Here is a 22,639-nt window from a genome sequence, read left to right as displayed (position 1 = left end):
TATTTATTTATGTATTTATATATAAATATATATTTATGTATTTATATATAAATATATATTTATGTATTTATATATTTTATATATATTTATATATATTTTTATATTTTTATATTTATGTATTTATATATATTTATATATTTGTATATATATTTATATATTTATATATATATATATATTTTTTTTTTTTTTGAGCCAGAGTCTCGCTCTGTCACCCAGGCTGGAGTGCAGTGGCACGATCTTGGCTCACTACAAGCTCCACCTCCCGGGTTAACGCCATTCTCCTGCCTCAGTCTCCCAAGTAGCTGGGACTACAGGCGCCCGCCATCACTCCCGGCTTATTTTTTGTATATTTAGTAGAGACAGGGTTTCACCGTGTTAGCCAGGTTGGTCTCGATCTCCTGACCTCGTGATCTGCCCGCCTCAGCCTCCCAAAGTGCTGGGATTACAGGTGTGAGCCACGGCACCCGGCCAATTTTTTTTGTATTTTTAGTAGAGACAGGGTTTCGCCATATTGGCCAGGCTGGTCTTGAACTCCTGACCTCAAGTGATCCTCCCACCTCGGCTTCACAACGTGCTGGCATTACAGGCAAGAGTCACCACACCTGCCATAAAACTTTCATAGAGGAAAATGAAGTGACACTTTCAGTACAAAGTATATTAATGATATATGTCTTTGACCTTTCTCTGCATTTATTTCTTTTTAAATCCAAAATTGTACAAGAGTCTGGTAAGCTTAAGCATGTCTTTTGATTGATTGACCCATTATTCAAAATATTGACTATAAATCAGGAAGGTAAAAGTAAGTAAGTAGATAGACAAATTATGAAGTTAGGGGAGTTTAAGAATAGATAATCTCTTGGTTACTTCCTGTTTAGAAACCTAGTTTACTATCACTAACCATAATGATTAATAAGTTGCTTTGATCACTATTCAATATGCACAGCAGCCTTTCTACGAAGAATGATTTACAATTCTTTTGTCTTCATAGGAAGTGCCCAAAAACTGGAGTTAAGAATCAGACTCTTCTGTAGGAATGTCCTCCTTGATCATTGGACACATCGAAGTGATTCTGCTTTTTGGTTGACGCGAATATTAAAACCATGGCCAATGGTGAATCAGGCAAGATTACTGTATATCATCTTTGGGCCAATATCTCCTCAAGATGGTGAGCACCCATCTTTCAGGGTTGTAACATAACTGGTTCATTATTTTTACTTTAGGAAGCATATATATATTTAGGAAGCATATATTATACACACACACACACACACACACATGCATGCACGCACACAGTGGTGCGATCATGGCTCACTGCAACCTCCACCTCCCGGGTTCAAGCGATTCTCCTGCCTCAGCCTCCCAAGTAGCTGGGACTGCAGGTGCGTGCAACCACAACCAGCTAATTTTTTTTTTTTTTTTTTTTTGAGACGGAGTCTGCTCTGTCACCCAGGCTGGAGTGCAGTGGCGCAATCTCGGCTCACTGCGAGCTCCAATTCCCGGGTTCACACCATTCTCCTGCCTCAGCCACCCGAGTAGCTGGGATTACAGGCGCCTGCCACCATGCCTGGCTAATTTTTTGTATTTTTAGTAGAGATGGGGTTTCACCGTGTTAGCCAGAATGGTCTCGATCTCCTGACCTTGTGATCTTCCCACCTCGGCCTTCCAAAGTGCTGGGATTACAGATGTGAGCCACCGCGCCTGGCCAGTTTTTTGTATTTTTAGTAAAGACGGGGTTTCACCGTGTTATCCAGGATGGTCTCGATCTCCTGCAGGGTCCCACTTTGGTACCCAGGTTGCTCTCAACCTCTTGGGCTCAAGTGATCCTCCCACCTTGGCCTCCCCAAGTGCTAGAATTACATACATGAGCTACTGTGCCTGGCCAAGAAGCATACACACACACACACACACACACACACACACACACACACACACATGTTTTTTTTGAGACAGAGTCTCGCTGTGTTGCCCAGGCTGGAGTTCAGTGGCCCAATCTCCACTCACTGCAACCTCCGCCTCCCAGGTTCAAGCGATTCTCGTGCCTCAGCCTCCTGAGTAGCTGGGACTACAGGCGTGCACCACCATGCCTGGCTAATTTTTATATTTTTAGTAGAGACAGGGTTTCACAGGCTGGTCTCGAACTCCGTACCTCAAGTGATCCTCCTACCTCGGCCTCCTAAAGTGCTGGGATTACAGGCATGAGCCACCACGCCCGGCCAGAGACGTTCAAATCTATACTATTACCAGAATTGACTTCTTGTTTCAAAAGTTAAAATGAAAGTAGCTTGTATAAGTAATGGGATTCCATTGTGCAATTCACTTTCCTTTTTAAACAAGTCTTTATCACAAAGCCAACTATTCTGTCATAGCCTCGTTTTTGTTTCAATTCAGGACAGGTGGTTTGGCAGGAAATGATAGAAGAACCTACAGATGAATTCAGTCTGAAAGGTTTGGCTGATGCCATTAAGTTACTATATGACGCTAGCACTAAAGAGTGGACAGCAGATGATGTTATCAGTCTTGTAGATGAACTATCAGGTAAAAAATATATTTACTAACATAGAATAATAGAAATTTATTGTTAAAATGCAGTTATAAAATTATAAGGATAATTCTACAGGTAACAAATGATGTGCCTGTTGGAAATCACTGAATGCTCTAAAATATTTAAAGAGTTTGGCATTATGTTTGAAGAGAATGCATATAATCAACTTACTTTCCTTTGCTTGCCAATTTTATAAATAAACATTTATTATTATTATTATTTGAAAGCTTCTTCATTTAATTAGCTCAATTACTCCCATGTTGTAAATTCTCAGAAACACCCTCCTAGGTTCTGTAAAAAGCCCTCTTCTGTGAGTAAAGGAAAGGTGAAACAATTATTCCTATTCCTGCATAATCCTTTAGATTCTAAAGTTTACAAGGATGCTTTCCTTGCACAGGATTAGAACACTTTGCCTGCTGACCTATGTGTAGGAGAATTGCTTTGTTTATATTATTAGTACATTTGTAAGAGCCTCCATGACATGGCAATAACCTGTCTCTGACTGAATGCCATAATTGGAAAACTAGAGCATTTTTTTCTGAGCATTTCCCTTGGCACTAATTGTATTTCCAATAAAGATAAAATATTGCATGTACTTAATGGTATTTACTATAGCTGTTGTGTGATTTCTCATTAAATAATTGTTCTTCCTCTAATAAAAGTGGTTCCCCGTGAGTGGCTTCTAGAGAATAATGCACGTCTCCTAATGCTAAGTGGAAACAACATCTGTTTCAGTTTCATGGCTAGTAAAGCTGTGAATGGACGCACCATTGAACTGGCAAGGCTCGTAGTCTTTTTGGCTTTGGTAAGTAAAAATAAGTTTTTCTCTAGCAAGTTTTTTAACACTACAATTGACCTACAGGGAGCTGCCCTGAAGGAACTGAAATGTGGACAAAAGATTTTGTAAAAATGAGTATTGAAGTATATATTTTTAATGTTTCTTTTTCAAAATATTAAAACATATGTTTTCTTTTGTTTTGTTTTGTTTTTTGAGACAGTCTCACTCTTTTGTCCAGGCTGGAGTGCAGTGGTGCGATCTCGGCTCACCGCAACTTCCACCTCCCATGTTCAAGCATTTCTCCTGCCTCAGCCTCCTGAGTAGCTGGGACTAAAGGCATGCACCACTATGCCCCAGCTAATTTTTGTGTTTTTAGTAGAGACGGGGTTTCACTATGCTGGCCAGGCTGGTCTCGAACTCCTGACCTCATGATCTGCCCGCCTTGGCCTCCCAAAGTGCTGGGATTACAGGTGTGAGCCACCACACCTGGCCTAATATTAAAACATGTCATAAACTATAATATTTGGAATCATCCCTTCTATTAACTTCTCCCCACTTCAAGTCTGGATTTTCATTATACAGTTCTGCTAAGTTATATTCTTTTTAAAAAAAAATTCCATGTTAAAAAAAGCATCCCATTTGATTTACTTCAAAATAATCACTGTGGGGGTGGGTTGGGGAGAGGACTTGGGAGTAAATGGAGATAGAGTTGAAATAAGATTGATAATTGTTGAAACTGGGAAATGAGTACTGGGAGTTTATTATATTATTCTCTCTAATTTTGTATAGTCAAAATGTTTCAAAATAAAAAGTCTTAAAAATATATTTAGGCCGGACGGGATGGCTCACACCTGTAATAAACCCAGCACTTTGAGAGGCTGAGACAGGAGGATCACTTGAGTCCAGGAGTTCAAGACTAGCCTGGTCAACATGGCGAAACCCGTCTCTACAAAAAAATACAAAAATTAGCTCGGTGTGTTGGCAACATCTGTGGTCCCAGCTACTCAGGAGGCTGAGGTGGGAGGATTGATTGAGCCTGGGAGTTTAAGGTTACAGTGAACCAAAATTGTGCCACTGTACTCCAGTCTGGGCAACAGAACGAGACCCTCTCCCCTCTCAATACACACACACACGCACACACACATACATATACACATACATATATATATATATATATATATATAATATTATATTTATTTAATATTCATTTAACACAAATTTGTATTGAGTGCTTACTATGGGCCATAAATTATGAGATTCTTGAGCCCAGGAGTTCGAGAGCAGCCTGGAAAACACAGCAAGACCCTGTCTCTATAATAAAAATGTTTAAAAATTGGCCGGACATGATGGCTCATGCCTGTAATCCCAGCACTTTGGGAGACTGAGTCAGGCGGATCACCTGAGGTCAGGAGTTCGAAACTAGCCTGGCCAAAGTGGTGAAATGCCAACTCTACTAAAAATACAAAAATTAGCCAGGTGTGGTGGCAGGTGCCTGTAATCCCAGCTACTCGGGAGGCTGAGGCAGGAGAATCACTTGAGCCTGGCAGGCGGAGGTTGCAGTGAGCAGATCATGCCACTGCACTCCAGCCTAGGTGACAGAGTGAGATGCTGTCTCAAAAAAATAAATAAATAAATAATAAAAAATTTAAAAATTAGCCAGGAGTTGTGGCATGCGTGCCTGTGAGCTCAGCTACTCAGGAGCTGAAGTGGGAAGATCACTTGAGTCTGGGTGGTCAAGGCTGTGGTGAGCCAAGATAGCACCACTGCACTCTAGCCTGGGCAACAGAATGAGATCTCATCTCAAAAAATAAATTACTTAAATAAAAGGCTGAGTGCATTGGTTCATGTCTATAATCCCAGCTCTTTGGGAGGCTGAGCCCAGAGGATCACTTGAAGCCAGGAATTCAAGACCATCCTGGGCAATATAGGGAAAGCCTCAATTCTACAAAACATAAAATAAAACTAGCTGGGTGTGGTGGTGTGTGTCTATCGTCCCTGCTACTCAGAAGGCTGAGGCAGGAGGATCACTTGAGCCCAGGAGTTTGAAGCTGCAGTGAGCTATGGTCACGCCACTGCACTTCAGTCTGCATAGCAGAGGGAGACCCTGTCTCTAAAAAATAAATAAGTAAATGAATAAGTAGGAGTTCACCAGGCAGATAGAGGGTGGCAGCAGATTATTCAAGGCAGAAGAAAAATGGGATCATGTGACTGTATTCAGGACACTGTAAGCAGTTCAGTATGATTTCTGAAGGGTAGAATCTGCAGAAGAGTAGCAGGAGGTGAGGTTAGACATGAAGGGAGAGGCTAGGTAAGGAAGGGTTTTGTGGGCCATTCTGTGGAGCTTGAACCCATTTTCTAATAGGGAGCTACTGAAAAGTTTTATGAAGGGGAGAGACATAATTGGCTTTGTGTTTTTGGCAGATCATTTTGGCAGCACTATAGCAAATGTAATGAAGAGAAAATCACTAGGGGTGGGGAAGCCTTCTCTAGAAAGCCTTCTCTGATTAACATGTCAATTCTGATCATTAAAGTTCTCTGAATTACCTCTGATTTGTCTTCTCTATCTTCATCTACTATTAGTGTCCTTAAGCCACTGTATGTGTGGAGTAGGTCATCTCCCAAAATAGACTGCAAGCTCTTTGAAATCCAGTACTGTGTCACTTATTTCTTTCATAGTTCATAATACAGTGCTTTACACATAATAAATAGTCAATAGATCTTTCCTATCACAGTGCTATTATTTAGTTACACTACTATACAGTTTATTTTAATAATATGCATTATTTATTTGGCTATGTGAGTTAGATTGGCAATTAAGGATGTTAGTAAAGAAACCTTGGCCGGGCGCGGTGGCTCACGCCTGTAATCCCAGCACTTTGGGAGGCCGAGGCGGGTGGATCATGAGGTCAGGAGATTGAGACCATCCTGGCTAACAAGGTGAAACCCCGTCTCTACTAAAAATACAAAAAATTAGCCGGGCGCGGTGGCGGGCGCCTGTAGTCCCAGCTACTCGGGAGGCTGAGGCAGGAGAATGGCGTGAACCCGGGAAGCGGAGCTTGCAGTGAGCCGAGATTGCGCCACTGCAGTCCGCAGTCCGGCCTGGGCGACAGAGTGAGACTCCGTCTCAAAAAAAAAAAAAAAAAAAAAAAAAAGAAACCTTTTACTTTTCAGTCAGTTTTAGCTAGGAACATGTAATCTTTAAATATTTATCTTTTCAATAATGAAGAAACAAATATTCCCTAAAATTCTCAAGATGGAAAGTCGACAATACCATAGAATTCTCTTGCTTATTGAAATTGCCCATTTGTCTATCACCTTCATTGGACTTCTTGAAAATAGAGCCATGTCTTTATGGTTTGTCATTGTATCTTCAGCTCCTAGCAGGTGCTCAATAAATGTTTATTGAATGAGTAAATGAGCAGAAATTTTTTTTCTATGTTCAGTAACTGTTTTCAATACATATATATATATATATATATATTTTTTTTTTTTTTTTTTTTTTTTTTTTTTTGGAGATGGAGTCTGGCTCTGTCCCCCAGGCTGGAGTGCAGTGGTATGATCTCCGCTCACTGCATCCTCCGCCTCCTGAGTTCAAGTGATTCTCCTGCCTCAGCCTCCTGAGTAGGTGGGATTATAGGTGCTCGCTACCATGTCTGGCTAATTTTTGTATTTTAGTAGAGACAGGGTTTCACCATTTTGGCCAGGCTGGTCTCGAACTCCTGACCTCAGGTGATCTGCCCACCTTGGCCTCCCAAAGTTCTGGGATTACAGGCATGAGCCAGCGTGCCTGGCCTGTTTTCAATATTAGTTATTTCATTAGTAAATATTCTTCTATGATAATCTTAAATTAGGCTTGTATTTACTTCATACTTTTTTCCCATTAAAATTGTACCATTTGAAAGCAAAATAGTATTAGATAGAAGAGCATTTCCCATGTATAGACTCAGTATGGTGTCAGGTATCATAAATTATGTAAAATCACAAACTATAATTATTCATCATTGTTCACCATTTTCAAATTCTATAGCTTTCTTCACATGAAGGTTTATAGCGCTTTATATGTCTAAATCAGGTGTGTGAGAAAGAACTGTACTGCATGGATTGGACAGTTAAAATGATGCAAAAAGTCTGCAAAGTCTTTAGCACTCCAGTGGAAAGAAAGAACTTCCTGCAGAATGTGGCAAATGCATTTGCATGTGTTATAATGGAAATGCTGCAATCAATTATGTCTGGTGAGTAGGAATGTACTTGGTGCACAGGTGTGCGTAAAAATGCGCTCTAGTCTCCACCTAAAACAGAGATATTTTTCTCTAACAGTCCAAGAATGGAAAAAAAAAAAAAAGCTATTTCTATGTTGACTTTAAAAAATAAAAACTAACAATAAGTAGAGGAAGCGGACTTTTGTTTGTTTTTCCTTGCAATATATTTAGTTCCTGGCTTTCGTCACTTTAAAAATCTGGTATTGGTTTTAATGGAGAATATAAAGTTGAAGAGTCTGCTTTGAAAGGAACCACTTTCAATTTTGCACAGCAAAAAAATTTAACTTGCTCACTTACCAACTGTCACTAGCATAAAAATATATTTGTAAATATTATTTTACAGCTTTATTAAGTAACCAACATGATAATTAACCCTATTTTACAGATGAGAAAACTAAGGCTTAGAGAAGTTACCTGACTTACCAAGGTCTCAAAGTTAGAAGCAATAAAGCATGGATGAGCATCCTTTTCTTCTGACTTCTAATCTACTTTTCTTATATAATTCCATGATTTCAGTAGTTAACTTGACTTAGTAAAGTCACTAACAAAAAGTCTCCTGTTTAAATATTACTAGGGAAGGCTGGGCGAGGTGGCTCATGCCTGTAATCCCAGCACTTTGGGAGGCCGAGGCGGGTGGATCACAAGGTCAGGAGGTCGAGACCATCCTGGCTAACACGGTGAAACCCCGTCTCTACTAAAAATACAAAAAAATTAGCTGGGCGTGGTGGCAGGCGCCTGTAGTCCCAGCTACTCGGGAGGCTGAGGCAGGAGAATCGCTTGAACCCAGGAGGTGGAGCTTGCAGTGAGCCAAGATTGTGCCACTGCACTCCAGCCTGGGCGACACAGGGAGACGCTGTCTCAAAAAATAATAATAAATAAATAAATATTACTAGGGAAAATTAGAACATCTTATGTTTCAAATAAATTATATACGTATAAGGCGGGTGGATCACCTGAGGTCAGGAGTTTGAAACCAGCCTGGCCAACATGGAGAGACCTCATCTCTACTAAAAATACAAAAATTAGCCAGGTGTGGTGGTACATGCCTGTAATCCCAGCTACTCGGGAGGCTGAGGCAGGAGAATTGCTTGAACCCAGGAGGCAGAGGTTGCAGTGAGCCGAGATGGCACCACTGCATTCCAGCCTAAGCAACAGGGGGAGACTGTGTCTCAAAAATTAAATTAATTAATAAAATAAATTATATACTTAACATTTTAACTGTCATTTTCTTTTCCCCACTATGTATGGCATATAGGAGACCGTGATGAAGATGACAGAAGCTTTTTGAATTTGTTCCATCTTGTACATGCTCAGGCTAACTTCCATAAGGAGGTCCTGTATTTGACCATGAATACTCCTCTGTCTACCTAAATCCTCAGAAAGCCTTGCCTTTAGAGAACGTCACTGAACGAATGATTAGAGGAGTGCTACTTTTTCACTCAAAAAATAGCATCCATGGGACTTTTTATCATCTAAGTAACCTAAGAATTCAAAAGCTGGATAGAATTTTAGAAGCAACTACGTACATCATTATTAATATAAAAATAACAGGCAGCCTCAAGAATGTGCTGAGATTTCTCTGGAAAACAAGCTCTGCCTCTCCGGGTTTTAGTCAACCTAACACCAAACCAAAATAGAATGTTAGCTGTTCAAGAATCTGGGACCAGCCAACCTGTATGTATGCATTTTTGAAGCAAGAGAAAATTCCATTTTATAGTTAGACCCAAATTCACTAAATAGTGTGTATGTTCACTTTGTTTAAGTTGTATAGACATAGCCCAGAATGTTTTGTGAAGATTTGCAATATGGTGTTTTGGAATGTGTAGAATACAAATCACAGTTTTTACTACCTTCTTGGCATATGCTTACAAAGAACATTATATTTTGTTCATGTTTTACATGAACTAATGGATAAAAAACAAAGTATACATATATGTCTATATATATATATAGACACACACACACAGACATATATTTCCTTCTTTAAGGTAATCATACAAAAGGTCTATACATACAGGAAGGTATATATTGTCTCAATGCAATCAAATCATCTTTTACTGGGGATTCAAATAAAATGTAGCAAATAAGAGAAAAATAAAATGAAAGAAAATAGCGATTCTGCTGCCAGAATAATCTTTACAAATAGTTTTTACTTCTTCCTAAAGCTTTTCTCCCTATCTTAAAAAGTGAGATTTGTCTGGGCACAGTGGCTCACACCTGTAATCCCAGCAATTTTGGAGGCTGAGGCAGGAGGATCCCTTGAGTCCAGGAGTTGGAGGCTGCAGTGAGTTATGATTGTACCATTGCACTCCAGCCTGGTGACAGAGTGAGACCCTGTTTCTAAACAAAACAAAACAAAACAAAACAAAAAAACAAGATTTGACAAAGGAAACTAAACGTATGGGTGGTTTACAGCAGCCCATGAGAGAGTGGGGTTCGGTTCTCTTCTCTCAAGTATATAGATTCCAAGAAGCTGCAGGACTGTTTCAGCCTGACTAGCATCTGCCACTCCTGCTTTTACTTTTACTATTAAAGTAGATAGTAACAGTACTTGACAGGGCTGAAATAATGCTGGAGTCCTCCTGGATCTCCCATCCCATTTTTTTCTCCTTGGGTTTGAGCACTTTACTTCTGAAGACACATTGCTTCCACCTGGACTTCTCAGAGGCTGGCCTTCTTTACCCAAGCTCTTGATTTAACTCACCTTTGGAGCTGATGAAGGAAAGAAACACTAGAAGATATGGAAAGTATCTGCAGAAGTAGGGGGTAAATTGTGGGAAATTCTCAAATGTTTGGTAAGAGGGACTCAGTGAGAGATGAATAGGACTGAGGAAGAGTGAAAATTGTGGAGAAAATACAAATTGTGAAAACAGGATTTTATTGTACTTCAGTAGTAAAGGCACTTACCTTCATTTCTGGAAGGTGAGAAGTTTAACTGTCTTTCTTAGATGGATTTTCCAACTGTAATTCCATTGGTGGCAGGAATTTTTTTCTCCAGTTTTTCATTAGCATATTTATGCAAAAACAAAGTTCTTGCTTTTATCCTGATTTCATTTTCTTCTTCTCAATGTAAGAATTCACCTTCAGTTGAATTATAAATGGAATTGAATTACAAAGATTAAAAGTTGGCAGATACCAGAGTATAAAATAATACCTTAGTTTTTTCATTTTCCCCTCTCTTTTTTCCTATACATGCTTGCAAAGCATAGATCTATCAAAACATTGATTATTCCAAGTTAAGAATATACCTCTTCAACTATCTGTGAGGGAAAGAAAAAATAAGGAAAAAAAAGTAAAATATTCAAATATAAATAGTGAATTTTTTTTTTTTTTGAGATGGAGTCTCACTCTGTTGCCCAGGCTGGAGTGCAGTGGTGTGATCTTGGCTCACTGCAACTTCTGCCTCTCTGCTTCATGCTATTCTCCTGCCTCAGCTTCCCCAGTAGCTGGGACTACAGGTGTGTGCCACCACACCCGGTTAATTTTTTTGTATCATTAGCAGAGACAGGGTTTTGCCATGTTGGCCAGGCTGGTCTCAAACTCCTGACCTCAGGTTATCCACCTGCCTCAGCCTCCCAAAGTGCTAGGATTACAGGTGTAAGTCACCATGCCCAGCAATAGTGAATATTTTTAATATTTTACTAAATGGATTCTAGATTTCATTTCCTTAGAGAAAGAAATTTGGCATTGTAAAGTTTCCTTGAATTCCTTGAATTATCCATCTCCACAGCAATTATTTTTAGCAAGTTTACAAAAGAAGCATGTAAAACATATTTGGTCTGGGTTTTGAATCTTCTTTATTCACTTGAACTGACATGACTGCTGCTGTAATTAAAAAAAAACCTCACATTATTTATTTCATTATTCTCAATAATTGTGAGATTATTATATCATCTTACCAAAAATTTGGAACATAAAAAGTTTGATTCATTCTTTGGGTGCAGGAAATAAACTGTGTCATTCTGCCACCAATAAAAAGCAAGCTGACAAATTGTCCATTCAATTGTTAAAACATACAAATAACATTTATGACCAAATTTGGAGTTTTTTCAATTCAGTGGTCCATTCTTTTTTGCCGAATACCTTTGTCATGAAGAATAAAGTGTAATGTCAAATTTTAAAGGGGAAATTAACTTTTAAAAGCATATGTTGTTATTACCATTATTATCAATGTTTAAGTGATGGTATAGGCAGTCATTGTCACAAAAAAAGAGCATTTGGAAAATGAATAGTTTAAAAACATTAGGAGACTGTCAATTTCTCACTAACTCTGGAACAGTCATAACAACATAACTATGTAAAGTACTAACAAGTCAGATAATTTAGCCTGTACTGTTTTTTAAAGTAGAAGATTGGCTGCTGGGCGCGGTGACTCATGCCTGTAATCCTAGCACTTTGGGAGGCCGAGGCGGCAGATCACAAGGTCAGGAGTTCGAGACAAGCCCGGCCAAGAGACCAGCCTGGCCAACATGGTGAAACCCTATCTCTACTAAAAATACAAAAATTAGCCCGGCATGGTGGCGGGCGCCTGTAATCCCAGCTAGTTGGGAGGCTGAGGCAGGAGAATTGCTTGAACCCAGGAGGCGGAGGTTACAGTGAGCTGAGATCACGCCATTGCACTCCAGCCTGGGCGACAGAGCAAGACTCCGACTCAAAAAAAAAAAAAAGATTGGCCTAAATTAGCAGACCTGGGGGCCCAGCTCCTTTTTCGTTTTTGTAATGCTTTCCTCAGCCTCCTTTGACTTTGATTTGTAGAATGATTTTTTACTCCCTGTAGAAGGCAAGTTCAATAACACATTATTATCTTTATCTTTATTATTATGTCTACAGACACCATGCACCATAATAGTACTAACAAACTAATGATGCTATCTTCCTTAGAAACTAATTGAAAATGTACAACTTGTGATAAGCTCTCTGTATCTTGTGAAACTATGAAACTTTAACACTTTTTTGGAGGACTCCTGCTCATGCCAATTATGAGATACCCAACAGAAGGTGCAGCTGGAAATACCATCTTATGTCAATGAATAACAAACACTAACCTCTTTGTGATTATTACTAAAAGGTTAACCTCCTTATGCAAATAGTACTCAAATGTATGATTACAGATTTTTATGTCAATAAATATTGTGAAGGGTAAAAATAAGGCTATTACAAAAGCCTCTTTGGTTATTGGATATCTTACTAACAACGTGACTTCTGTAGCACTTCCACTAGCAGGTAACTGTGAAACCTGTAAGAAATCAGGATATGGACATATGCTCCTTGGTTTTTGAGGCATTACTAAGCTAGGAAAGGTGACCTGAAAGATAGCTGCATTGAACAGTCTTCTCCAGGTTAAAAAAGAAAAAAAATTCCAAAGGACTAAGATTGCATTCTTTTCATCAAGAAAACAAATATATTGCATTTAAGGGCAAGATTGAAAAAAAAAAAAAGAAAAATATAACTCCAGAAAATTCCTCAAACTAGAGACTGAAAAAAGAACCCCACAAACCGCAACAATTTGGCCTTTGAAAGACTCTTAAATTAAAATAATAATAGTAATACTTGTAGACATTCTGAGATCACTGCTTTCTTAAAGGTGCGTATAACGAAAATATGCATTGCTATTTCAGAAGTATTCTTTTTATGGTAAATTTTCTTTGATACTAAATATTTGATATTTGCTAAATTTTGTTTATTTACTATATTAATAAAACTATGTTAAAATTGAAAACATTCCATCTTGTTCAGAGTTTGTCATTATGCAAGTCATTGAGCTTTTTGTGGGGGAACTTACCTTCATTTAAGCTGTTAATTATAGCTCTACCATGATCAAAAAAATGAAATGTCTTAATATAAATTAATATTGTAATTAGCTGTATATTTATGTATGTGTATACTTACACTTAATATTAACATATAAAATTAAATAATTTCATTTACTAGCAATAACTCATAAACAATAATCTATAGAACAGTATTCTGCACTGTTCTGCTATTTAATTCAGTGATTAAATCCGTAAGCAATGAATATTCCAATTGCTGCTAAACTAGAAATGCTACAATTATCATAGCTTAATATCAGTTTCAAAAAATAAAATATGTAATTAAATATTGTGGATTACCTGCAATTTCCCATGACTATAAGATCTTACAGTGTTTTTTTGAGACAGAGTCTGTCACCCACGCTGGAGTACAGTGGTGCGATCTTGTCGTACTGAAACCTCTGCCTCCCAGGTTTAAGCGATTCTCCTGCCTCAGCCTCCTGAGTAGCTGGGACCACAGGCACACACCACCACGCCTGGCTAATTTTTGTATTTTTAGTAGAGCTGGGGTTTCACTTTGTTGGAAAGGCCGGTCTCAAACTCCTGACTTCAGGTGATCTGCCCCACCTCGGCCACCCAAAGTGCTGAGATTATAGGCGTGAAGCACAGTGCCCGGCCTCTTACGGTGTTTGTTTTTTGTTTTGTTTGTTTTTTTGAGAGATAGTCTTGCTCTGCCGCCTGGCTGGAGTGCAATGGTGCAATCTCGGCTTACTGCAACCTCTGCCTCCTGGGTTTGAGCAATTCTTCTGCCTCAGCCTCCTGAGCAGCTGGGATTTACAGACACGTGCCACCATGCCCAGGTTTTTTTTTTTTTTTTTTTTTTTCTGTATTTTTAGTGTAGACAGGGTTTCACCATGTTGGCCAGGCTGGTCTCGAACTCCTGACCTCGTGATCCACCCAGCTCAGCCTCCCAAAGTGCTGGGATTACAGGCATGAGCCACTGCTCCCAGCCTGTGTTTTGTGTTTTGTTTTGTTTTGTTTTGTTAAGACCGAATCTCTCTCTGTCGTCCAGGCTGGAGTGCAGTGGCGCAATCTCGGCCCACTACAACCTCCACCTTCCGGGTTCAAGTGATGCTCCTGCCTCAGCCTCCTGAGTAGCTGGGATTACAGGCATGTGCCACCTTGCCCGGCTAATTTTGTATTTTCAGTAGAGATGGGGTTTCACCATGTTGGCCAGTCTGGTCTCCAACTCCTGACCTCAAGTGACCTACCTGCTTCGGCCTTCCAAAGTGCTGGGATTACAGACGTGAGCCACCACCACACCTGGCAGTCTCACAGTTTAAATTTTAAGTACAAAGATGTTCTTAAACATTTCTAATGTATCTGCCTTGGTGTGTTTGATTTTATAATGGAAGTTGTGTCAATGGCTTTTTCTGTTCCCCTGTTAATATATGACTTTGGTTTTATTTTTGTTTAAAATAGATGGGCACAAAACTGACTTAGAAGAGGCCACTCTACCGCCCATCGTCTGGGATGTGAGGAGCCCCTCTGCCTGGCTGCCCAGTCTGGAAAGTGAGGAGCGTCTCTGCCCGGCGGCCATCCCATCTAGGAAGTGAGGAGCGCCTCTTCCCGGCCGCCATCCCATCTAGGAAGTGAGGAGCGTCTCTGCCCGGCCGCCCATCGTCTGAGATGTGGGGAGCGCCTCTGCCCCGCCGCCCCGTCTGGGATGTGAGGAGCGCCTCTGCCCGGCCACGGCCCCGTCTGGGAGGTGAGGAGCGTCTCTGCCCAGCCGCCCCGTCTGAGAAGTGAGGAGACCCTCTGCCTGGCAACCGCCCCGTCTGAGAAGTGAGGAGCCCCTCCGCCCGGCAGCCGCCCCGTCAGAGAAGTGAGGAGCCCTTCCGCCCAGCAGCCACCCCGTCTGGGAAGTGAGGAGCGTCTCCGCCCGGCAGCCACCCCGTCCGGGAGGGAGGTGGGGGGGTCAGCCCCCCCGCCCGGCCAGCCGCCCCGTCCGGGAGGGAGGTGGGGGGGTCAGCCCCCCACCCGGCCAGCCGCCCCGTCCGGGAGGTGAGGGGCGCCTCTGCCCGGCCGCCCCTACTGGGAAGTGAGGAGCCCCTCTGCCTGGCCAGCCGCCCTGTCCGGGAGGGAGGTAGGGGGGGTCAACCCCCTGCCCGGCCAGCCGCCCCGTCCAGGAGGTGAGGGGCGCCTCTGCCCGGCCGCCCCTGCTGGGAAGTGAGGAGCCCCTCTGCCCGGCCACCACCCCGTCTGGGAGGTGTGCCCAGCGGCTCATTGAGAACGGGCCATGATGACAGTGGCGGTTTTGTGGAATAGAAAGGGGGGAAAGGTGGGGAAAAGATTGAGAAATCGTATGGTTGCCGTGTCTGTCTAGAAAGAGGTAGACATGGGAGACTTTTCATTTTGTTCTGTACTAAGAAAAATTCTTCTGCCTTGGGATCCTGTTGATCTGTGACCTTACCCCCAACCCTGTGCTCTCTGAAACATGTGCTGTGTCCACTCAGGGTTGAATGGATTAAGGGCGGTGCAAGATGTGCTTTGTTAAACAGATGCTTGAAGGCAGCATGCTCGTTAAGAGTCATCACCACTCCCTAATCTCAAGTACCCAGGGACACAAACACTGCGGAAGGCCGCAGGGTCCTCTGCCTAGGAAAACCAGAGACCTTTGTTCACTTGTTTATCTGCTGACCTTCCCTCCACTATTGTCCTATGACCCTGCCAAATCCCCCTCTGCGAGAAACACCCAAGAATGATCAATAAAAAATAAAAAATAAAAAATAAAAAAAAAAATAATAATAATAATAAAAGAAAACAAAAAAAAAAGAAGAGGCCACTCTAGGCTTTGAAAATATCTATAGTTTGATAAAGCCAAAGCATGTAATTTACAAAGACAATTTTCCACTTCAGTTGTACTTCGATGCCTAAGGAAAAGTCCCATTATTTTTGAGTAATTTAAAATCAAAATGATATTTTGGCCAGGCACGGTGGCTCACACCTGTAATCCCAGCACTTTGGGAGGCTGAGGCAGGCAGATAGCCTGAGGTCAGGAGTTCCAAACCAACCTGGCCAACATGATGAAAACCTGTCTCTACTTTAAAAAATACAAAAATTAGCCAGGCATGGGGATGCACACCTGTGCTCCCAGCCACTCGGAAGGCTGAGGCAGGAGAATCGCTTGAACCCAGGAGGCGGAGGTTGCAGTGAGCCAAGATTGTGCCATTGCACTCCAGCCTGGGTGACAAGAGCGAAACTCTGTCTCAAAAACCAAAAAATAAAATAAATAAAATACATCATTCTTCCCCACAAACCCCCTGTTTTCATCAAGAAAGCAGGTATTAGTGTAATGATTCTTAGCATTGTCACTTGATTTTTTTCTAAGTAATTTATAATTCTTCAGAGTGGTTTTTATCTCATTGACATTTTATTGGACAAAATTACCCTATGACACAAATTTATAAAATTTATACAAAATCTTATATTACAGAGGTAACTTTTTGCAGTGTTTTATTATGTTTTGGGATGCCAAAATACAAATAGTTTAAATGTAAAATTTAAACAACTATCAAAATAACACAGTAAAACCCTGTTATAAGCTAGCATATTGTTGCATAAATATAAGCACAAAGTCATATAATTTTTCCAAAATGTATTGATTTATTTTTTTAAAATCATATTTTACAAGTAACTGAAGAGATGGGTAATCCTCTCTCCTTACATTGTACCCAATACCAGTGGTATATATCACCAGTGTATGAGTGAAATCTGCTGATTTTTTTTCACTGAATTGATTAGTTGTTTCAACTTTATGTGAATACAGACTGAGAAGCCTTGATGTCACAAAAGACCAGAGCAAGCTTGGTTAGACTATACTTTAAAGATCTATACCATCATAACTAACTCTAATTTGGACCCCTCCAAAATACTGGCGCATGCCTGAATTACCTAGGTAAGGATGTAGAGCTGCTGTCTTGGCTTGAAGACGGAAATTATAGTTCGAAACACTAAGATATACCAGAGTTAGAAGAATGTTTTAGTGGAAAATGTCACATCAAGGACTCCACTGAAGATCATTTCTAAATATATCCAGGTTCACAGCCATGCTGCTTGCATCCATGTATGTCAGATTACCTATCTTTTTGCTACATACCACGATGCAGTATCATACTTGTTAATATTCCTTAAACAGTTTAGGCAAATTATCACAGACATAATATATATTTGGAGTAAATAAATATGGCCATTTTCTCATCAAAATCTGGCTGTTGGTGAAAAAAAAAGAGTTTTGCAGTTAAATTTTTGTTATAAAGTGTCATGTTGGGAAGAATATTCAGAAAAGGGGGACTACCAGTGAACTATTAAGAGTTCGTTCCATGGGAATTCTGTTCTCGATGTAGTTTCCAAAGAGATAATGCGACCTTGGCCTAACACTTTCATTTGACAGAATAAACAGAGGACCTAAAGTTTATGTATTTATTTATTTTTATTTTATTTTTTATTTTTGTGGAGACGGGGGTCTCGCTATATTGCCTGGGCTGGTCTGGAATTCTTGGCCTCAAGCTATCCTCCTGCTTCTACTTCCCTAAATGCTGGGATTATAGGCATGCGCCATAGCACCTGGCCTAGCCCTAAAGTTTAAATGACTTATGAAAGGTCAGGTCATATAATTTGTTGCCAAAACAAAGCTTCCAGAATAGTGTTTTTTCTTGTCCATAATTTTTATGTTTTTATTATTATTTTTTTTTGAGATGGGGTCTTGCTGTGTCACCTAGGCTGGAGTGCAGAGGTGTGATCTCGGCTCACTGCAACCTCTGCCTCCCAGGTTCAAGCGATTCTCCTGCCTCAGCCTCCTGAGTAGCTGGGATTACAGGCACCTGCCACCACACCAGCTAATTTTTGTATTTTTAGTAGAGACAGGGTTTCACCACGTTGGTCAGACTGGTCTCAAACTCCCGACCTCAAGTGATCCTCCTGCCTGAGCCTCCCAAAGTGCTGGGATTCCAGGCGTGAGCCACCGTGCCCGGCCTTGTCCATAATTTTTAAACACAACTTTTCCATTTCAGTTGTGACATATAATGCCTCAATTTTTGTTTTAAAACATGGAAATTGGACACAATGTTATTACTAAAAACTAATCTTTCTCCTTGTTTATTTATTTATTTATTTTATTTTATTTGAGACGGAATCTCGCTATGTCTCCCAGGCTGGAGTGCAGTGACATGATGTCGGCTCACTACAACCTCTGCCTCCCGGGTTCAAGCAATTCTTCGGCCTCAGCCTCCCGGGTAGCTGGGACTACAGGCGCGCACTACTGTGCCTGACTAATTTTTGTATTTTTAGTAGAGACGGGGTTTCACCGTGTTGGCCAGGCTGGTCTCCAACTCCTGACCTCAGGTGATCCATCCGCCTCGGCCTCCCAGAGTGCTGGGATTACAGGCATGAGCCACCACTCCTGACTCTCCTTGTTTACTTTTAAGCAAGAAAGGAAAATTAAATGTAGAACAATTATGATAGACTTGTAAAAGGAATAAACACCCCAGATTTGCAGGCCAATTCTACTCTGAATCCCAAAATACATAGTTTCTTCAACTCTAATGGGTCAGAGAACTATGTGGAAAGTTTTTTCCAGAAAAGATCTTTGATTAAAACACACACACACACACACACGCACACACACACACACACACACACTCATTTTGGGGTAAGAGATTTTTCCTAAATAAGTATAGCCATCTTGTTTCTATCATTTATAATTCAATCAGGTGCAAAGAGAGGACTATATAACCATTTCTCCCTTTAAATGAGAAACTGGGATACAAGTGGTTTGAGGTGGGGAAGAAATGATACATTTTAAAAACTCAAATGACAAGTTCTTCCTGGCTGGAGAGTGAGACAAGAGAAACCACAAAACCCCAGACTGTGCAATCTGTAAAGACAGTGATAAAGTGACTACTTCATAGATGAAGATGGACAACTTGAACTTCCCCTTGAGTTTCACAAGGGAGTCCTGTGTGTGAGAAGGAAGGAACATATTTGAGTGTAATGTGCAGTTGCATTTAGATCTAAGGAAACTTAAAATGAATTTAAGTTTCCTTAATTCAAAATGAATTTTTGAGCAGTTCTCCACGGTAACTTTAATAAGTCTCCATTTCAACTTTCTGTTCTCAATCCCATCTACAGCTCAAACATATGCAGTATCTGCCAGCCCTGTCCATGAATTCCTGAAGTCCCAGCCAAGTGCCTCTCAGCTCAAAAAGCCCCTTGCTTGCCAGGGGTCAGCCATGTCTGGAAGGCTCTGAAAGAGGTCTGCTGGGCAGTAGGACTGCTTCTGTGGATGAGAGGCCTCTTGTTGGACTGGAGAGACCAGGAGCTGTAAGAAACCCAGAAATAAAAAGTCTCAGATGGGGACAACTGCAAAGTACCAGGAGTTCCTCCCTCCTCTCCACCATATCCCACAGTTGGACATCTCCCCGAAAACCCCACCCCAAGTAAAATTTATTTGCCGTCTCACCCTCAAATAAGAATGAGTCAATCATTAAGTAATGCAATTATACAAGCATAGTTGTAAACAACTATATTGCAAGTATGCTGACATGCAAAGATGTGTTTTACCTTTAATTACCAGAAGAAAATAGACAACTTGAGTTTGAGCACCTAACTTGAAGAAGAAATTAGGAAATAATAGTCCCTCCCCACCACATCCATCATTCCCAACCCGTTCTGCCTAAAAATCGTTTACATTGTGGATTTTATTTGTAATTTTTAAAGTCTTATTTTAAATTAGGTCCCAAAGAAAGAAGCTGGCATTTCTTATTCTTTTCAGAGTGGTCTAAGAAAAAAAATAGGAAAGCAAACTCTTTCTTTTTTTCTTTTCTTTTTTTTTTGGAATCAATACCCGAGATAACAGCAGAAGCAAAAATCCACCGGTGCGTCAGCAAGCAGGGCACTCGGCCATTCATCTCCATCCTTCCTTCTGAGCTGTTCTCCAGCAGGCTCCGGCCGCAGCTCCAGGCCACTAGAGCAGATAGATAATGTAGGACAGAATGACCAGGCCTATGATGGCAAAGAACATCAGGATGAAAATATCCAGCATTGTGGATTCCTAGGCCGACCAAGCCCCTGGATTCTGGTGAACCGTGAGCTGTGAGCACGGAGGTTGCAGTCGGTGGAGAGAAATGGCTCCCCTTCACTCCACAGCTCAGCCCTGGTTCTTTCCCCTCCCCCTCCCAGGGGCCTGAGACTGAAGGATGCTGCAGCTCCACCAGCAGCTTCCTGCCCCCCCACCAACCACAGCCAACCAATCACAAAGCCTGGGGGTGGATAGCCAAGGAGATGCCAGATTTAGACCCACAGAACCGCAGAATCAAAGGGGCTCAATTTCTCCCCAGGAACCCAATCCCACCCCTTTGTATCTAAATGGAGCCTGCATGCTCTGGATGTAGGAGGAGATAGGATCCTACCCAGCTCCCCCAAGAGTGAATCCTCCTGACTGCCTTCTTCGCGTTTCCTCTCACACACCTCGGGCAGATTATCTCAGAAAAATCATGGTTGGGTATTGGGTGGGCCATTGGCAACTTCTAAAGGTCACATTATGGGGAGACACAGACAAAAGTTTCGTGTGGATCTCAGTGGGCTTCCCTGAGGGATGAAGCTAACATTTATACATTTCCTACACTGGGCCAGATATCGTACATGTGGTGCAATTTCAACCTCCCTATGAGTCTTTCATAGATGGGGCTCAGAGATGGTCAGAAACTTACCCTAATGGTTCATAGCTTAGATGTGTCAGAGACCAGCCGGGCGCAGTGGCTCATGCCTATAATCCCAGCACTTTGGGAGGCCGAGGCAGGTGGATCACAAGGTCAGGAGTTCAAGACCAGCCTGGCCAAGATGGTGAAACCCTGTCTCTACTAAAAATACAAAAGTTAGCCAGGCTTGGTGGTGCATGCCTGTAATCCCAGCTACTTGGGAGGCTGAGGCAGAGAATTGCTTGAACCCGGGAGGCAGAGCTGAGATCGCGCCACTGCACCCCAGCCTGGGCTACAGAGCAAGATTCTGTCTCAAAAAAAAAATAAAAATAAAAATTAGCCGGGCGTGGTGGCAGGTGCCTGTTATCCCAGCTATTCAAGAGGCTGAGGCTAAAGAATTGCTTGAACCCGGCAGGCAGAGGTCGCAGTGAGCTGAGACCGTGCCATTGCACTCCAGCCTGGGTGACAGAGCGAGACTCCGTCTCAAAAATAAATAAATTAATAAATAAAATAAAAAGTAAAAGGCTGGGTGTGGTGGCTCATGCCTGTAATCCCAACACTTTGGGAGGCTGAGGTAGGTGAATCACCTGAGGTCAGGAGTTCAAGACCAGCCTGACCAACATGGAGAAACTCCAGCTCTACTAAAAATACAAAATTAGCTGGGCATGGTGGCACATGCCTGTAATCCCAGCTACTCAGGAGGCTGAGGCAGGAGAATCGCTTGAACCTGGGAGGTGGAGGTTGCAGTGAGCTGAGATTGTGCCATTGCACTCCAGCCTGGGCAACAAGAGTGAAACTCCGTCTCAAAATAATTAATTAATTAATTAAAAATGTCAGAGACCAGGATTCAAAACTAGGCATGCTGACACCAAAGTCCATATTCTTCCTCTTGCGCCACACTGCTCCCCCTGTTGGTCCGGAAGGCCCCTACACCCCACGTGCACTGCTCAGCTTGCAGTGGACTGCTTTCACATCGATCCACCTACAGGACGAGCACCAGAGACCCCTCCTCCACCCACTCCTTCGTCTCTTTGCAGTCATTACCCACTGTTTTGTTTTCCTTCTTTCTTTTTTTATAGAGACGGGGTCTTGCCATTTTGCCCAGGCTGGTCTCAAACTCCTGGACTCAAGCGATCCTCCCACCTCAGCCTCCCAAAGTGCTGGGATTGCAGGTGTGAACCACCGCACCCGGCCTAGTTTTGTTTTCTTTGGTATCCTCTTCCAAAAGCTCAGCATAGTGTTGTACACAGAGAGGACACTGAAGAATTCCCCAGGGGTATCCCTGAAATTTAAAAAATTCAAGTGGTTTCTTCTGAGGGGGAAAAGAGAATTATTTTATTCTTTTTATTTATTTATTTATTTATTTATTTATTTATTTATTTATTTATTCTTAGACGGAGTCTTGCTCTGTCACCCAGGCTGGAGTGCAGTGGCACGATCTCAGCTCAGTGCAAGCTCTGCCTCCCGGGTTCACGCCATTCTCCTGCCTCAGCCTCCCGAGTAGCTGGGACTACAGGCACCCGCCACCGCGCCCAGCTTATTTTTTGTATTTT

The 22,639-nt window shown here is 41.7% G+C and overlaps 2 protein-coding genes across 5 annotated transcripts in view, besides 2 other annotated features; one reads left to right on the top strand and one right to left on the bottom strand.

Annotated features, from left to right (window-relative positions):
• FBXO47 (F-box protein 47) overlaps window positions 1–9,693 on the top strand; it is a 30,972-nt gene extending 21,279 nt beyond the window's left edge. For 3 of the 4 annotated variants that reach the window (XM_011524866.4, XM_011524865.3, NM_001008777.3), the window contains 5 exons: window positions 989–1,165; window positions 2,389–2,535; window positions 3,205–3,347; window positions 7,393–7,552; window positions 8,835–9,693. In XM_011524866.4, coding sequence (XP_011523168.1) covers window positions 989–1,165; window positions 2,389–2,535; window positions 3,205–3,347; window positions 7,393–7,552; window positions 8,835–8,950 — 743 coding nt within the window. In that variant the 3' untranslated portion in view covers window positions 8,951–9,693. Of the gene's footprint in view, window positions 1–988; window positions 1,166–2,388; window positions 2,536–3,204; window positions 3,348–7,347; window positions 7,553–8,834 lie in introns of those variants that run through there. The other variant, XM_011524867.3, reaches the window with a different exon arrangement.
• Window positions 15,340–15,886: an enhancer, noted in NCBI's record as "OCT4-NANOG-H3K27ac hESC enhancer chr17:37086492-37087038 (GRCh37/hg19 assembly coordinates)". NCBI's record gives its function as "activates a minimal SCP1, AML or CMV promoter by ChIP-STARR-seq in primed H9 embryonic stem cells {active_cell/tissue: H9 hESC(primed)}" and the evidence as "EXISTENCE:reporter gene assay evidence [ECO:0000049][PMID:30033119]".
• Window positions 15,887–16,432: an enhancer, noted in NCBI's record as "OCT4-NANOG-H3K27ac hESC enhancer chr17:37085946-37086491 (GRCh37/hg19 assembly coordinates)". NCBI's record gives its function as "activates a minimal SCP1, AML or CMV promoter by ChIP-STARR-seq in primed H9 embryonic stem cells {active_cell/tissue: H9 hESC(primed)}" and the evidence as "EXISTENCE:reporter gene assay evidence [ECO:0000049][PMID:30033119]".
• LASP1NB (LASP1 neighbor) lies at window positions 16,744–20,511 on the bottom strand. Its single transcript, NM_001414697.1, has 2 exons — window positions 20,234–20,511; window positions 16,744–19,708 (listed from the first exon to the last, which is right to left on the bottom strand). Exon 1 carries the CDS (start codon window positions 20,429–20,431, stop codon window positions 20,354–20,356), a length of 78 nt encoding a protein of 25 aa, NP_001401626.1. The 5' UTR covers window positions 20,432–20,511; the 3' UTR covers window positions 16,744–19,708; window positions 20,234–20,353.
• Between the last annotated feature and the right edge of the window lie 2,128 nt (window positions 20,512–22,639).

Source organism: Homo sapiens, chromosome 17 (assembly GCF_000001405.40).
Source record: "Homo sapiens chromosome 17, GRCh38.p14 Primary Assembly".
Lineage (NCBI taxonomy): Eukaryota > Metazoa > Chordata > Mammalia > Primates > Hominidae > Homo > Homo sapiens.
The sequence above is the reverse complement of the archived record's forward strand: the minus strand, read 5'-3'. Positions and strand labels throughout refer to the sequence as shown.

What these genes read in the sequence shown, in the direction of transcription:
- LASP1NB (NM_001414697.1), bottom strand. Translation starts at nt 20,431, where the DNA reads ATGCTGGATATTTTCATCCTGATGTTCTTTGCCATCATAGGCCTGGTC.